An 18,426-nucleotide genomic window follows, 5' to 3' on the forward strand; every position below is an offset into this window, starting at 1 on the left:
TAAGCCTACATCACAAGGCTTTTTTTCCTGATACCAACCTTCATGGCTGGCCATAGACTATAGAATTGGATTCTGGCTAAGAGGACAGTTAAAACTCAAGTCATAGACCTTCCCAGAAAGGGAAATTTGATTCAAGAATTGAAAAATCAATTGTGAATACTTTTAATAAGTAAAACAAGACACCTGAAGGCCTAATATGTACTACCTTAGTGTTTGTTAGGGCAGCGTTCTAAGCTTGCAAAAGAACATGTGAGAATTTTAGAAATAACCCTGGAATCAAACTGAACTTTATAGGTTTGAACTACTTTTAAGGGGAGGGCTGTGTGCACGAGTGTGTGTGCCTGTGTGTATGTGCCTGTGTGTGCCTACATGTGTGTGCCTGTGTGTGTGCGCCTGTGTGTGCCTGCGTGAGTGTGCCTGTGTGTGTGTGTGTATGTGTGTGTGTGTTGGGGACAGTAAAGAGGATACTCCAGGCTGTTAGTGCAGAGACAATTTTCAAATAAATTTAATTTTCTTTTGTGCGCTGCCTTACAGAAAAGACCCATGTAAATGAAACATTTTGAGGATCCAAGTGCTTACTTAGAAAAATACAATAAAACAACTTTAAAGGAGCCTATGAGACCGAACCTTTTGTAACTCAATAGTTTGACTAGGAATTCCTATTCCTTCTGCATTTGAGCACCACAAGCCAATTATTTATCATAAAACTTTCTAGGTGGTCCTCAGTATAAAAGTTGAGAAAGCATGTCACAAAACACACATGAGCACTTAAAACCTTTAAAAACAGCCACCTTATTCTGTCTTTCCTTCTGATTAAACAACATCAACATGACCGCATTTTACTTAACTAAGACAAAAGATGTGAAAACTCCATTTACTAAGCGAGAGAGCGATGTACTCTAAATCATTAGCAATTATAAAGAGTACACATATTTCATTATGAGAGATTGGCTATACATTTATTTTCTAACCCATCCATTAGTGAGAAATATTGGCCGCACATATTAGTGGTTGTGTTGGACGAATGATTTATATTTAAAATCTCATTTTCACTTCTCAGAAGCACTTTGGAAGTAAGTGTTTTGTTCATGCTGAGCACTGTGGATGGTTTGCACCTCCTGTGACTGCTTCAGGCAGCTTCGCCAGGCTGAGCGAGCACAGGAACCACGTGCTATGCACACTTGAAACACTCCAGGTTTCCTCCCTATGCAGACAACAACAGCCATGGGAACTTCCCTCTCCTCTGTATCAACAGAAGTATAGTGGAAAGCAGAACCCAGCTGTTACGGGTCAAACTGTGTCCCCCAAGAATTCATATGTGGGAGCCCTAATGCCCAGGACCTTGAAATGTAACTGTATTTGGTGATAGTGTCTTTAAAGAGGCGATTAAGTTAAAATGAGGACTTTAGGGTGAGCTCTGATCCACTCAGACTTGTGTCCTTATGAGAAGATGAAATTTGGACACAAAAGGAGGTATGAAGGATTTGTGTACACAGGGCAACAACCATGTGAGGACACAGCAAAAAGGCGGCTGTCTACAAGCCACGGAGAGGGGCCTCGGAGGAAACCAACCCTGCCAACACCTTGATCTTGGACTTCTAGCCTCCAGAGTGATGAGAAAGTTAATTTTTGTTGTTCAAGTCACCCAGTCTGTGGCACTTTATGGCTACCCTAGCAAAGTAAGACATCTGCTTGCTTATTCATTGGGCAAAGATAGATCTAGCATTATGCTGATGATTCTCAAAACATGGCAAGCCTTGGAGGTTTAATGTCAGCTTTGCTCCCATTCCAGTAAAGGAGAGCCATCTTCTGTGAGTAACGATTTCACCAAGAACTTAAAATTTTGAGAGATGTCTGACCCATGTGATTATAGTAAATGACCAAGTCTTCAGTTAATAATGCTAGCAACAATCATCACCAGCATTTATTGGATGCTTATGATGTGCCAGGCTCTGTACTGCACATTCTATGTGTGTTATCTGGTCATCATCCTTGCAATCATATTAGGCTGATATCATTGTTAATCCAGCTTTACAGAAAAAGGATTCTATCTTGCCCATGGTTACATAACTAGGAAGCCCAACTTGGACCCAGGTAACTCGTGTCTGGAGCTTATGGTTTTAACCTCTAAGCTATATTCACTGGTGATGTTAGTGGCCTTACAATGCAAGCATTTGAAAATGAAGTGATAGCCTTATTTTTTCCTCCAAACAAGTGACTATGATGATAGGGGACCACATTCTTTTGTGAGCAGGGTCTGCTTTCTCTCTACTCTTCTATCTTGCCCACCTTCCAGAGTTTATCCACCTCCTGCAGGAAGCCTTCTGGCCCTACCCTATCTGATGTGGTTTGGCTGTGTCCCCACCAAAATCTCATCTTGAATTGTAACTCCCACAATTCCCAAGTGTTGTGTGAAGAACATGGTGGGATGTAATTGAATCATGGGAGTAGGTCTTTCCTGTGCTGTTCTCATGATAGTAAGTCTCACAAGATCTGATGGTTTTAAAAATGGGAGTTTCCCTGCACAAGCTCTCTCTTTGCCTGCCGCCATCCACCTAAGATGTGACTTGCTCTTCTTGCCTTCCACCATGATTATGAGGCCTCCCCAGCCATGTGGAACTGTAAGTCCATTAAACCCCTTTCTTTTGTAAATTGCCCAGTCTCAGGGAGCATGAAAATATACTAGCACACCATCCAAAGGGCTCCTTCACTCCTACATTGCTTATTGATGAAATTCTTCATTTGGTACTTGGTATAAACTGACCTTATGTTCTCATGCACATTTGTCATGTCTTACCAACTTCTATTCAATAAATGGATGTCAGTATTATGTGACAGATATTCTGGGAGGTCACCTTCTGTGGCTTTCATTTGTTAGAAGGAGGTTGCTTTGTAGAGGTCAGTGTGTGGAGATAAGCTGGTTCAATTGATCCCAATAGGAGATCACCTGAGGTTACCTGGACAAGGATCTGGATGACCAGGGGCTCCCCTCTTCCCCAATAGAGCATAGGAGGTTGAACAGCCTGTAAACAGCCAGCCTCTAAACCCAGACTGCCAGGGCCCGAGTGGGTGAGCATGTCCCTCAAGGGCAAAGCTGCTGTCACTCTTGCTGTATATGGAGGGACCCACCGTTAGTGTCAGATGAACAAATCAGTTTTCTCTCACATGCCAACTATGATCAGTCACATAGAGGTTTGCATTGAGAAACTTACAGTCTGAGATGCAGGAAAAGGGTTATCCAGAATCACTGAGAAGCACTTTTTAAAAATAAGAGTGCTTAGGCCCCCCCAGCCCAGACTGATTGAACTAGAAACTCCTGGAGGAGCTGCCCAGGTGGTTCTAACATACAGACAGGGAGAGAGCTGGAGAGAATCCCAGCCCTCATGGTGATTACACCTGGGGAGTGAATTGGTTGGTTCTGTGAAGTGAGAGCCACACAGTAGGTCATCAATATCAGTTCCTATCCCCCTTCTTTTGTAGCCCCCCTAGTTATCTACTAGGCACATAATAGAAACTGAGTAAATACTGCGGGTTAATGGACATGTCAGCTCAAATAAGAGCAGAGCTTTGCCACGATGGGCAAGCCGAACACCCTGGGGGAGTAGAGTGACCAACTTACCCTGATTTTAAAACTGAAAGTCCCAGGCAAATCAGAGTGGTTGGTCATCCTACTGGAAGAAGAAGTGAGGTTCCTACAGCATCTCTGCCTCCCACCTAAATCACTGAGATTCAAAACTGGGAGACCCTCAAACTCACCTGGGGTGAGGGCTGTCCACATTCCTAGCTGCCACTTCACTGTGACCTAGGACATCCACCCAAGGGGAAGATAAGATATGTCTCCAGCAGTAAGAGGAGTTAGGCATGTTAGCACCAGATGAGATAGGTAAAAAAAACAAAAAAAACAAAAAAAACAAAAAAACAACCAGGGGAAAACCTGCCACCCAGACCTCAATATTAAATTTGACTTGTAACTCCTATCTGCGAAAGCTACTGCCTGATTATAGAAGTGTCACATATATGGTTTTGTTTTGTTGTGTTTTGGCAATGAATTTATATTAGAGTCACCCAAGACTCCTCTGATGCCCTGCATGGGGACATACCTTCAAGTGCCGTTTTACAGACATTTTCAGCTATTTTCAGCCATAGGTAAAAATTTCAAAAGACAATTTTGGCAGCTATAAAGGACACTTCTGGGCAATTGGGGAAACTCGAATATATATATGGACAATTAGATGATATTCATTCAGGTGTGATCACGGTGGCATTGATTAGATAGAAAAATGTCCTTATTTTTTAGAGGTACATACTGAAATTTTAGGGATGATATGTTGTCTGTAATTTACTTCATAATAATTCAGAGAAGAAAATTGGTAAATATTAAGACAAAAACAAACCATAGTAATGGAGGATTTGTATGTAGAAGGTGTTTCCCCAACTCCACATGGTGAAATATGATGAGGTGATGAAGGTTTTTTTTTTTTCTTTTTTTGAAGGAGTCTCTCTCTGTCACCAGGCTGGAGTGCCGTGGTGCGATCTCAGCTCACTGCAATATCCACCTCCCAGGTTCAAGCAATTCCCCTGCCTCAGCCTCCCAAGTAGCTGGGACTACAGGCGTGCACCACCATGTCTGGCTAATTTTTTGTATTTTAGTAGAGACGGGGTTTCACCATGTTGGCCAGGATGGTCTCGATCTCCTGACTTCATGATCTGCCCACCTCAGCCTCCCAAAGTGCTGGGATTACAGGCGTGAGCCACCACACCTGGTCAATGAAAGTTCTTAATGATGAGGTTGGTCAGTGAAGAGATTGTTAGTGTTCATCCCATTTACTATTAGGGGATAAGAAAATGGGTAATTCTTTTTATTTTATTTTATCTTATTTTACTTTAAGTTCTGGGATACATGTGCAGAATGTGCAGGTTTGTTACATAGGTATACGTGTGCCATGGTGGTTTTCTGCACCTATTAACCCATCATCTAGGCTCCCTCCCCATCCCCCCCACACCCCACAACAGGTCCCATGTGTGTTGTTCCCCTCAAAAATGGGTGATTCTTAATTTTCCTAATCTCTCACCCCAAAAAATGGTTTTAATGCTAAAGTCTTTGCAATTTTTTTGAAGCCTGAAGATTTCTAAGGCCGGCCTGCTACAAGAAGTGCATCTGAGTGAGCACAGGTTGGGGAGCTAGAGGGAGCTGGGCCCCCACACTATCGTTATGGCTGTGGGACCTTAAGCAGGTGGCAGAACTTCATGGAAACTCAGGCTCCGTCTTTGCAAAGCTGGGATGGGACCACATGAAATGCTATGGATGCAGAGCTGGCCTGGGACAGGTTAGATAATCAATGAATGAAGATTCTCTTGCTGGGATGGAGGAAGGAAAAAAAAATGTAATTTTTTTTTTCAATGTAAAGCAAAGAAAGAGACCTGACTACCAAGTTTAGCACCAACCTTCCACGCCTGTGGGATAGATGTATTAATACACTGAATTAATAGTTACTGGAACCCAAAGCTGTCCCAGGAACTATGCATCACAGGAAGTAGCCCTGTGACATTTACATTATAAAAATTATTTCTTAAAGTTAAATCAACATAGGCAGATTTCTATTATTAATTAGCCCAACCTAGATTTCTATACAAAGGAAATTGAACTTAATATAAGTTGGATTCATGTTTTCCCATTTCCAACCTTAAGTATAATGGAAATTACTCCATTTATCGAACAGATACTATGGGCCAAACACATCACTAGATGCTATTAATTTTCATCTTCAGCACACCCTAATGAAGTGGATATTACTACACAATTATACCCCACTTAGCAGAAGTAACGCATATCAGATAGGTGAAATCTCATGCCCAAAAGCCATAACTGAAAGACAACACTGCCAGCACGATGACGAGAGGCACTATGACCTTGCCATCCCACCGACTGTTCCCCTTCTGGCCCTGCTACCTACAAGCCATAGACTGCTCTGGGTCTCAGTTGTCTTCCTTGGTAACATGAGAATGATGATGGGAATGAGCCCATGGGATCCTGAGGATTAAATGAGCTAGTGTGTTCATCCATGCAAAGCATTTAGAACAGCTTCTGGCATGTGGTCAGTGTTCCGGGAGATGAGGCTAATGGATTTAACAAGTAAAATCTGGCCAGCAGACCCTTTATGTTGCCTTCATAGTGAATAAACTGGTGGCTCCTATCATCACTCTCCAATGGGTGCAAAAATACCGTTAGATAGAAGGATTAAGTGCTGGTGTTTGACAGCACAATAGGGCGACTACGGTTAACAATAGTTTATTGTATATTTCAAAATACCTAGAAGATTTGGAATGTTCCCAACACACACAAAAATAATACATGTTTGAGGTGATGGATCTCACGATTACCCTGAGTTCATCATTACACATTGTATGCATGTTTTAAAATATCACATGTACCCCATAAATGTGTACAATTATTATATAGCAATAGAAAGAGAGGGCTAGAAAAATTCAAGTCTTATTCCTCTTGTTATGCTGTTCAGTAGGGCTGAGGCTGGCCCGTTCCTGGCCTTCTGGCCCCAAAGGTCATTATTCAGCCACAGCACACCCTCTGGTTGGCTTCATCACTGGCTTTCTCTGCATATTAGAGTGATCCAGACCTGCTATGCCTTACTGGCTGTACTGCAGAAATGCTTTCTATGCTCTGACTATAAGGTTGTTAAATCCTTAAAGCTTGTTAGGGCAGGGCTTCAAAACTCTTGCTTGGGGTTAATGGTGTCTTGTGATGCAGAGAGCAAGCTGCCTCACATGTTAAGAGGAAATTTCTGTGGCTGAGAATATCTTGAAAGACAGAGTTTAGCCAGGAACTCTTGAGGATAAACAAGCTTTGATATATTACATTGTGTGCACATAAATGAACATTGGTCCCCTTTCAGATACATTCCAGCCATACTAAGATGGATGAACTTAGGTTGGTCTAGGGTTGGTGCGTTTCTTAAAATGTTTCTGTGTTTGTGCACAGCACAAGGGTTCCAAGCTGAGTTGGAATATAGGATGCGAGGGAAGTGGTGCATTGCATTGTCACAAAACAGAGGAAATGATTCAAAGAAACAAAAAGAGAAGTATTTCAAAAGTAAAAAGGGGAATTTCTTCCAGCCACAGACATAAATAGAAGAAACAGTTCATTCATTCACTCACTCGCCTATTCGTTCAACAAATGCTCATGGGCTTCTTGTGTCAGGCACTGTGCAAGGTGTGAAGATAGATTAATGAGCAGCACTTGGTTCCTGCACTCAGGACTCCCACTCTGGAGCGAGAAGGCATCCATCATTGATTATGTTTGGCCTTGGGTACCACCTCTGTGTGCTGGACCTGCTTTCAGCCCTGAGGGGATGGAATAGGGCCTAATCTTTTCCCACCCTCAGGGCTGGTAGTTGTATCTTCCTTGGAGCTGATGAGATGGTTTGAGACCTTCCTCAGAGTAGAGACAAGACTGTCAGCCCCTTATATCCCCACTCCTGCTGCTTTGCAGTGCTTCTGCCCATCTCCTCCTTGCTGAAAAATGTTGTGGGGAATTGCAAGACAGGCCAACCCTAATAATTCATATTCTCCTTCTTCCTCTCCTTCCCTCCCTCTAAAGAAATGAATTACATATCCCATAAGCATATATAATTAAAGAAAATTAAATCTAATGTATCCCTAACCCATCATGTTCATGTTTATATACTCTCTGTGCTTATTACTGGCTATTAATACTCCTATTGATCTTAGCTTAGACCAGGAATTCGAGGGTGGAGATTTTAGTTGCTGTTGTAATTGACATAAACATCCTTCTGCCTACCTATTAGATGACTAAAATCCAATCAAGTGATTAGCATTTACTGTGAACCTGCTACGTGTCCTGCACTCAGTACTATGAACAACATGGAAGAAAGATAGGCACGTTGTTCTGACCCACTAGCCACGTGCCCAGCCAGTAGCCCCAGGCTGAGGATGAGCTAGCACTCAATTAGAACAAGCCCAGAGCATCACCTCCCTTTCTATCCCAACTCAATCCTCTTGGGCCCTCTCACCCTCCACTTTCTGAAGAATCCCTGATCCAAAGCAGGACATTTTGACACAGCTGTGTTGATATGGCTATTTTGCTTTGAGGTATGTTTTATGACATAGTTGCAATGTGTATTACCAAGAATTATGCACAGCAAACACTTCTAATCTTTTTCTCTCCCGTTCCCACCCCCACTTCATCTGGGAGACATTTATTTTTCTGCATTGTCTAAACTGCTTTTGAAGTATTGTCTTCTATTTAGTGGTGTTTTCTTCAAAATCTGTTAGAAAGGAATTAGTCTTTATGGATATGTTCCTGACTTCCAAAAAGTCTTTATAAATTAGGTTAATGCTATTAAATATAACTTACATATACTGCTGGGTACTGAGGATGATTAGAAGTGTATTTGAAGCTTCCCTCTGCGATTTGGGGAAGAGAGTAAGTGCTTCTTTTTAGGAGACTGAAAGGCAAATGGCACTGCGGAGACAGGAGGATGGGGAAGGCCAGCTTCTTTTGGCGGGTCACAGGGGTAGGTCGAGATGGTTTGGATTTGGGGAACTTCTGATTTTGTAGGAGTAGCAGAAACTTCTGGCACTCACTGACATGTGGCCTTGACCAAGTCCCTCAACTTCTCAGAGCCTCAGTTTTCTTATCTGTAAAATGGGCATGACAGTGTCCACTGAAACAAGGTGACATCGGAGAGAATAAAGAATAAAGTATTTAAAGCTTTATGGGAACAGCCTGAAAAGAAGCTGGACTGAACTTGGCTTAGTCTCACCTCACCTGGGTTAACACTGTCCCATCCCGGTGTCATTTGAGGCTGGATAATTCAGAAATCCAACATGCTTCATGTAGAAATATTGCCTGGGTCTCTCACTGAGACCATGGGATCAGTCCACATCCCTGTAGGTGAGGTTGAGGTCCCCACTGTCAGTCACCTTAAGGGAGGTTGGTCTGGAAATTGAAGACTCAGAAGAGCAGCCTTTGATGGGGATGAAAAGAAGGAAATGAAAACCACCACCTTCACCCTCTCCATCAACCCAAGGTCTCTTGCACATATCCAGGAACTTCCAGGTGGCCGGGGCACCAGGGAATTCCCTGGAGAGGCAGGCTGGGTTGCTCTAATTCCCTTTCTTTTCTCAAATCCTTCAGTGATGTCTCTTGCCTGGTTTAACTGAGGAGTGTAACTGTGAGGGACAACAGGAAACAATTTTCCCCGATGACTATTCCTGCTATGCCTCATAGAGCCCTCCTTCCTGGCTTTGTAGAGACCTCCTAAATGTCAGACACTTTCCTTGAAGTCACTTCATCTGGGTAATAAGATGTGGTCCTGCCCATTTTTGAAGGTCAGGCTCAGACTTAAGTGAAAACTGCCCCAAGTCCAGCCAGGTCTGGGAGGAGGGGAGGAGCCACAGATTACTTCTTTATGCATGGGCCCCTCCTCCTGGCCCTAGGGTTGGTTGGGTAGGAGAGCTGGGTGAGGGGCTGGAGAACAGACTTGTCTCTGGTGACTGCCCTGCTGTGGCTGCTCTCTCCTGGGAGGCATCTCTGGTGGTTTAGCTTATTTTCTAGGCCCCACTAGAGGGTCTCAGTTTCTAGTTGCTCTCCCAGACCTGGGTCCTTCCTATGTGACTTGGCCTCATCTTCGCCCAGCTGCTGGTGGCCGCACACCCACTCTCCTCTGATGTTGGAGTGGGGTCTCCTGCAAGTCAGCAGTGACCAGTCATGCCCATCTCTCAGAAACTCGCACTTCAATGGGGCAGCCCCTGCCCCCTATACTGGGCCGAACATCAGTTTACCCCCCTCCCCCCAACACTGGGCTGGACATCAGCTCATATCCCTCCCCAACACACAGGGCTGGACATCGGCTCATCCCCCACCCCACACACACACACTGGACTGTGCATCAGCTCATCCCCCCGACACACACATACTGGTCTGGACATCAGTTCATCCCCCCCCCCCCCACACACACACTGGGCTGGACATCAGCTCACCCCCCTCCCACAACACACACACTGGGCTGGACATCAGCTCACCCCCTCCCCCCACACACACTGGGCTGGGCATCAGCTCACCCCCTCCCCCCACACACACTGGACTGGACATCAGATCACCCCCCTCCCTAACACACTGGGCTGGACATCGGCTCATCCCCTCCCTCCACACACACTGGACTGGACATCAGCTCACCCCCCTCCCTCACACAACACACACTGGACTGGACATCAGCTCACCCCCCTCCCACAACACACACACTGGAATGGACATCAGCTCATTGCCCTGCCCCCACACACACTGGGCTGGACATCAGCTCATCCCCCTCCCCCCCACACACACACTGGGCTGGACATCAGCTCACCCCCCTCCCCCACACATACTGAGCTGGGCATCAGCTCATCTCTTCCCAGCGTAGCTCCTCCTCAAGTGGTGGGGAAGAGTTCAGCAGCCCAGGGACTGAGTGGGAAATGGAGCATTAGTTTTCTCTTCTCATAGCCAGTCACAGCCTTGATCCCCTTAGAAGGGCTTCTAATCAGGGGAGCAGCAGGAAGCCAAGCGAGGCCCTCCTTATCCTCTCCACAAAGCAGAGGAAGCTGCACCCCCTTGCTCCAGGCATCCTTGGAGACAGAGGGCATGCTACTGAAAAGCCACCTCCCCATAAGCTCCAAAGGGAGCTGAACTGCCCACAGCTCACTAATTTTGCTGTTGGTTATTTTTCTATTGAGGTATAATTCACGTTCCATAAGATCCATGATTTTTAAGTGTACAGTTCAGTGGGTTTTAGGACATTCACAAGGTCGTGCAACCATCACAACCATCTGATTTCAGAACATTTTCATCACCCCAGAAAGAAACCCCAAAGCCATTAACACTCGCTTCCCATCTCCTGATCTCTCCAGGCCTTGGCAATCACTAACCTACTTTCTGTCTCTAAGGGTTTGCCTATTCTGGACATTTCATACTAATGGAATCCTAGGATAAGTGGCCTTTGGTGTCCGGCGTGTTTCACTTAGGTTAATATACTTGAGGTTCATCCACATTGGAGCATGTATGAGTACTTCATTCCTTTTTATGGCTAAATAATATTCCCTTGTGTGGAGAGACCACAATTTATTTACTCATTCATTAATTGATGGATATTTGAGTTGTTTGTTTCAAACTTAGATCTTGGGCCACTTTGAAACCTTTATTAGGAAAAACTCTGGATCTTCACACCACTATTTTATTGGCTAACGTTACAACCGAGGTTGTTTTGTGGTAGGCAGATGAAAGAGTGGAGGAGGTGTGGGGAGAGCAGGTCCCTCTCCTCTGCTGGGTCTGTGCAATGCCAGTGAGGCTGCCCTTCATGGAAGCAGCTGAGACAGCAGAGCCAAGGCCCCAGAGCAGTTATGGGCAGCAGAAAGTGTTTTGTGTGGGAGCAAAATAGAGGCTGGAACAAGTGGTGTGTGAATAAGCCAGTCCTCTGGGGAGGGGAAAAGCCCTGCTTTGCAGCATTTGCTAATTTCCATGGTATAAATACTCTCATTGTGGCCAATTTCAAGCTACAAACTAGGTGACGCTGAACACAGACTTGGGAGAAATATACACCATGGGGTTGGTACAACCAGTTCCAGGACACCACTGGGCTGGAACTCAGCTTCCTGCACATGGATGAGAAAGCAGCTCCCTAGGGACCTCTGGGAAGCAGCTGGAGACTCTCAGAGGGGGTCAGTTTCCAGCAATAAGGCACCTAGCATCTGCCCAATGTGTGTTTCCCTCCCCGATCTTGTTCCAAAATACCAGTCACTTTTTTTTTTTTTTGAGACGGAATTTCGCTCTTGTTGCCCAGGCTGGAGTGCAATGGCATGATCTCGGCTCACTGCAACCTCCACCTCCCAGGTTCAAGTGATTCTCCTGCCTCAGCCTCCCAGGTAGCTAGGATTACAGGCACCCACAACCATGCCCAGCTAATTTTTTGTATTTTTATTAGAGACGGGGTTTCACCACGTTGGCCAGGCTGGTCTTGAACTCCTGACCTCAGGTGATCCCCCACCTCGGCCTCCCAAAGTGCTGGGATTACAAGCACCAGTCACCTCTTTGAATTAGGCAGCAAAACCAGAGCATTCCTGGGCAACTAGCCTTTGGTTACTCTAATGCTTCCTCATCATGTAGGGTCACGTAAAAAGCCCTTCTACTCACTGCAAGTCCCTGACTACCCTACCAGTGGAGGAATGTGGATTGATGAAGTGTTTGGTCATAGCTGAAATACAACCCTCTTGGAGCTTCTTTGGAAATATAATAAGGGAAATGATAGATCGGCATTAAATAAAGAATATTGTATAATAGTTCACAATCCTATGATAATAGTTCATAGGAATAGAAAATGACAAGTGTTGAAATTGGAAAAAGTCTGATTCTTAATGTCTACACCTGTACAGTCCAGTATGGCAGCCACTCACATGTGGCTGTTAAACAACCGAAATGTGACTAGAACACATTGAGAGGTGCTATAATATACACACCGCATCTCGAGTGTTTGTTTAGTAAATTAAAAAAATGTAAAATATCTCAGTAAGTTTTATAATGATTACATTTTGAAATATATTTTTGCTATTTTGGATAAAATAAAACTAAATCATTTAATTTCACTTGCTTTTTACTTTTTAAATTTTAAAATTTACATTTTAAATTGCATGTGTGACTTACATTCTGTTTCTATTGGATAGCACAATACTAGATACTATTGGACACCTCTTAATCAATTTAAACAACAGGAGCTACATTTATTAGGTTTTACTATGTGTCCAACACCAAATGAAACTATTTATGTATATAATTTTATTTAATCCTTTCAACTTTTTGATAGGACTCGTTATCCCTGTGTTATAAAGGAGAAAACTGAAGGTCAGAGAAGTTAAGTAACTTATCCATGTTCACACAAGGAGTCTTAATTCAAATCAGTCTTTGGCTCAAAAGTCTGTGCTGTGATGCTTTTTGCTAAAGCAAATGAAGGATTTCCTAATCTCTAATAGACATATAGGTTAATGGGAAAGACAATTTGTTAGCAGTCTGTTTGTTTTGGTAACTGTATATTTTGATAGGATTTCAAATTTAGAGAAAAATTGTAAGAATAGTACAAGGAACTCACATGTACATGGTCCAGACTCACCATCTGTCTATAGGCTAGGGATAGAGAGAGAGAAAAAGAGGATTTTTCCCCTCAAACCATTTGGGAGTAAGTTGCAGACATCAGGTCCATATACTCCAAGTACTGATGTGTGTGTGCTTCCTTAGAACAAAGACATTCTCTTATTTAGTCACAATCCAATGTTCAAAATTAGGAATTTTAACAGTGATATAATACCATTTCCCAATGATAGTCCATATTCAGATTTCATCAGTTGTCCCAGTAATGTCCTTTTCAGCTACTTTCCCCCATTGGTTCAGAGTCCAGTCCAGGATAATGCATTAGATTTAGTTGTCACGTCTCCTTAATCTCCTTTAATCTAGAACAGTTCCTCAGCTTGGTGTGCTGCTTGACTCTGATATTTTTAAAGAATGCAACCCATTATTTTGTAGAATGTTCTTTAGTATAGTTTATCTGGATTCCTTTAGGATCAGAATCAGGTTTTGCACTTTCAGCAAGAATATTACAAAGTGTTCCTGGTCTCACTCAGCACATATTTGCTAGCTGCTTTTAAATATTGTTTATGAGACTTTAGCATAAAAGTAAGAAATAAGTCTTTCAAAAACATTTCTAGATTTGGTCCAAATATTTCTAGAAATTGGTCCAAATATTCCTGTGCAAAACAAGTGTAAATGTTAGGTGTAAAATATAGATAATGATAAATATGGATTATAATAATTATAACATGGCTATATTTTCATATTTTCCTGACCCTGTATAGAAAACAATTATTTTTAATTCAGTCTAGCAATTTGAAAGAAAGATTAGAATATATGAGTTGGCGATGGATAGATAGGAAAAGAGAGTGAGTATAAGGTCATTTAACCACTAAAGATGGTTTAATTTCAAGGCACCTGTTGTTTAGAGTAAAATAATTTCTTTGTTCTCTTTTCTCGTTCTTTTCACTTCAATTCATATGATAAGTGCTTTGATTAGAGTCATCAAACTGCCATTGCCAGATCCACTGCTATGCTGCAAGAAGATGGTGTTTGTTCAGAGTTAGCAGCAAACTCTTATAATCTCATTTCATTCAAATGATGTTTTTATTGCAAGATGTAACACCAGCAACCTAAACTGTCTCTGACAGTCTCATATTTTTCTTGTTTAAGAAACAGCTGTCAAAAGGATCTGTGTGAGCTAAGCAACTGACAAATTACAGGAAAATTATATTTTTAATCAATCACTTGCCTAAAGTCATGGAATGTGGTTTATAGTTATCCAGATATAACGCCATTTAGAAACCTTTTCTTTCATCATAGGGCATCTAGTAATTTTTATGGTTTTCTTCTTATCCTGTGGCCAAAAAAAAGGATGTCTAAGACAAATGCACTTTAAATATAAAGATATAGACTGAAAGGAAAAGTATAGAAAAACATATACCATGCAAAATGTGAGCTTAATAAACACGATGTGGTGTGGCTATATTAATACCAGTCAAAATAAATTTCAAGGCAAGGACTATGAATAGAGATAAAGCACATTTAATAATGACAAAAGGGTCAATTCATCAGAATACATGACGACAAAAGATGTATGTGACCTTCAAAATATACAAAATATATAGAGAAATTCAAAATCCACAAAGAAAAAAATGGCAGTGTTAGAGAAATAGAAGTAATTGGAGATTTTAACACCTCTTGTTCAATAACTGACAGAAAAAATGGGACAAAAAGATGGGTAAGGATATAGATTTGACTATCAACAAACTTGACCCAATTGGCATTTACTGAACAGTGGTAGAATACACATTCACTTTTTAAGAACACACAGAACATTCACCAAGAGGCTATATACTAGGTTCTAAAATGTCTCAATAAATTTCAAAATATTGGCTCCCTCTCCCCCTCCCCCTCTTTGCATGGTTTCCCTCTGATGCCCAGCCGAGGCTGGACTGTACTGCCGCCATCTGGACTCACTGCAACCCCCCCTGCCTGATTCTCCTGCCTCAGCCTGCCGAGTGCCTGGGATTGCAAGCGCGCACCGCCACGCCTGACTGGTTTTCGTATTTTTTTGGTGGAGACGGGGTTTCGCAGTGCTGGCCCGGCTGGTCTCCAGCTCCTGACCGCGAGTGATCTGCCAGCCTTGGCCTCCTGAGGTGCTGGGATTGCAGACGGAGTCTCACTCACTCAGTGCTCAGTGGTGCCCAGGCTGGAGTGCAGTGGCGTGATCTCGGCTCGCTACAACCTCCACCTCCCAGCCGCCTGCCTTGGCCTCCCAAAGCGCCGAGATGGCAGCCTCTGCCCGGCCACCACCCCATCTAGGAAGTGAGGAGCGTCTCTGCCTGGCTGCCCATTGTCTGGGATGTGAGGAGCCCCTCTGCCCGGCCGCCCAGTCTGGGAAGTGAGGAGCGCCTCTTCCTGGCCGTCATCCCGTCTAGGAAGTGAGGAGCGTCTCTGCCCGGCAGCCCATCGTCTGGGATGTGGGGAGCGCCTCTGCCCCGCCGCCCCGTCTGAGATGTGAAGAGCGCCTCTGTCCAGCCGCGACCCCGTCTGAGAACTGAGGAGTGTCTCTGCCCCGCCGCCACGCCGTCTGGGAGGTGAGGAGCGTCTGTGACCAGCCGCCCCGTCTGAGAAGTGAGGAGCCCCTCCGCCCGGCAGCCGCCCCGTCCGGGAGGTGGGGGGGGCAGCCCCCGCCCGGCCAGCCGCCCCGTCTGGGAGGTTGGGGGGCGCCTCTGCCCGGCCACCCCGTCTGGGAGGTGTACCCAATAGCTCATTGAGAACGGGCCATGATGACATGACGATGGTGGTTTTGTCGAATAGAAAAGGGGGAAATGTGGGGAAAAGAAAGAGAGATCAGGATTGTTACTATGTCTGTGTAGAAAGAAGTAGACATAGGAGACTCCATTTTGTTCTGTACTAAGAAAAATTCTTCTGCCTTGGGATGCTGTTAATCTATAACCTTACCCCCAACCCCGTGCTCTCTGAAACATGTGCTGTGTCCACTAAGGGTTAAATGGATTAAGGGCGGTGCAAGATGTGCTTTGTTAAACAGATGCTTGAAGGCAGCTTGCTCGTTAAGAGTCATCACCACTCCCTAATCTCAAGGACCCAGGGACACAAACACTGCGGAAGGCAGCAGGGCCCTCTGCCTAGGAAAACCAGAGACCTTTGTTCACATGTTTATCTGCTGACCTTCCCTCCACTATTGTCCTATGACCCTGCCAAATCCCCCTCTCTGAGAAACACCCAAGAATGATCAATAAATACTAAAAAAATAAAAAAATAAAAATAAAAATAATTTCAAAATATTGAAATCTTTAAAAGCTTATTTAGAACCATAAAATTAAATTAGAAATCAATAACAATAAAGTATCTAGGAAGTCTCCAAAGGCTTAAAAATTAAACTACCCCCTTGTAAAAAATGCACAGGTCAAAGAGGAAATTATAAGCATTAAGAAAATATTTTATACAGAAAAGTGATTTTAAAACACATATCAAAAATTCAGAGATTCTGCTAAAGCACTGACTTAAGAGAGATGTATAGCTTCGAAACCACCTTTGCAAAATTATGATAGAAAGAAAAATCTGACATGGCTGATTCCATCTCACTTCTAACCTCACAGGCTAGCTGTTTTTGCTAATTCCTGGGCATGGGCCAAGCTAACTTTGGGAGAAATTTGGTTTATATTTTAAATAACAATAGCCCTTCCCTAAAACTAAACTGACCTTGTAAAACTAATGAAAGGTCATCAGGTTAGGAGAATGAGAGGGGCTGGAATTCTGCTACAATGTAAAGTAGGTAAACAATTACAGCCATTTTCCCGGAGGTCACAAGATTTGCAACTTCCCCAATTACTCCTGCAGATAACATTACTATTGTAGAACCCAAGTTTGGCTTTTTGAAGTGTCTTTTCAGGGTTTTGCACTTCTAACAACCAGATGGCCCCATTTGGACCTGTGACTTAACCAGTTCTGTGGCCCCACCTAGAAGCCAACTCAGCTCATGAGGACCATATTTCATACCACCATCATTGCATCCCCAACCAATTAGCAGCACCTATAGCCTAGCCCCCTGCCCACCAAACTATCTTTGAAGAACCCCTAACCTCCAAGCCTTCAGTGAGATTGATTTGAGTAATAACTTCGTCTCTCACCTGGTGTGGCTAGTCTCATGTTAATTAAACTCTTTTTTTATGGCAATGCCTTGAGTCTCCGTGAACTGATTTTGTTTGTGCAAGAAGAACCCATCGGGCAGTTACAGATTTAAATCTGAAATCACTGACTTGAAATATTTCTTCTTTTAAAATATGTTTTCACATTATGAAACTAAGAAAACATGGGTGAATTAAACTCAAAATAAGTTTAAGGGAAGAAAGAAAGATCAGCAGAAATCAAAGAAGTAGAAAACAGATAAATAAGAGAAAATTAGCAAGGACAATAGTTACTTTTGTGAATAAAATGGTAACATTGATAACCCCACAACAAGACTTCACCTGAGGGTTGATCAGAGAATCTGAGCCAATATGAGTGATACAGAATATGGTAGGAATCTGACCTCATGCAATTGTGCTGTAAACCAGAAATAAAACTCTAAGCCTCTCAGCCAACTGATGGATGTTCCTCTTGGCCAAGGGCATTCCAAAGCAAACCCGAAAAACTATTTAATGCAAGGATGGAAAGGAGTGGGGGTCAGACATGCCTCATTGTAACCTCTTCCCTGTGGAATTCAGGCACAACTGATCAGCATTAACATTAAAACAGAGATTCTAAGACTGAGAGAACAAACTGTTTGTAGCAATAAGATACCAAATTCCAACCTGACTCTAGTATAGTATTGCATGACAAGTAGCAGGCCCTGAAAGAAATCAGTCTTTTGTCCCAAAATATACTTATTTGATATATTTTGAAATGGTCTTGCAAAGCTGTCTCTTGTGGGGGAAATTTACATTCTATAGAGAATCCCCTGTTCTTTCCAGGTCTTTTTCTGATCCTGAAGAGGTTGGCTGAGAGTCTAGCACCTTTTGAGGGTCTGAATAGAAAACACTTGCCATCTATTGCCTCTAAGGGCGGCCACCTAGGAGACTTCATCTACATAAGAACCCTGTTTTCCACAGTCCTTTATCTTAACCCAAACACTCCTTTCTATTGATTCCAGGTCTTCAGATAACCAATTGCCAATCAGAAAATCTTTGAATCCACCTATGACCCGAAAGCCCTCCCACTTTGAGTTGCCTGCCTTTCCAAACTAATGAACACCTTATATGTATTGATTGATGTCTGTCTGTAACTTCTGTCCC

The 18,426-nt window shown here is 43.3% G+C and overlaps 2 long non-coding RNA genes across 3 annotated transcripts in view, besides 1 other annotated feature; one reads left to right on the plus strand and one right to left on the minus strand.

Annotated features, from left to right (window-relative positions):
- Positions 1–18,426, plus strand: part of LINC02930 (long intergenic non-protein coding RNA 2930) — a 216,730-nt gene that overhangs the window by 174,340 nt on the left and 23,964 nt on the right. The window lies entirely within an intron of this gene.
- WDR11-DT (WDR11 divergent transcript) overlaps positions 1–18,426 on the minus strand; it is an 89,368-nt gene that overhangs the window by 21,110 nt on the left and 49,832 nt on the right. The gene's annotated exons all lie outside the window — the stretch shown is intronic.
- Positions 15,806–16,474: an enhancer, noted in NCBI's record as "OCT4-NANOG-H3K27ac hESC enhancer chr10:122558239-122558907 (GRCh37/hg19 assembly coordinates)". NCBI's record gives its function as "activates a minimal SCP1, AML or CMV promoter by ChIP-STARR-seq in naive H9 embryonic stem cells {active_cell/tissue: H9 hESC(naive)}" and the evidence as "EXISTENCE:reporter gene assay evidence [ECO:0000049][PMID:30033119]".

Source organism: Homo sapiens, chromosome 10 (assembly GCF_000001405.40).
Source record: "Homo sapiens chromosome 10, GRCh38.p14 Primary Assembly".
Lineage (NCBI taxonomy): Eukaryota > Metazoa > Chordata > Mammalia > Primates > Hominidae > Homo > Homo sapiens.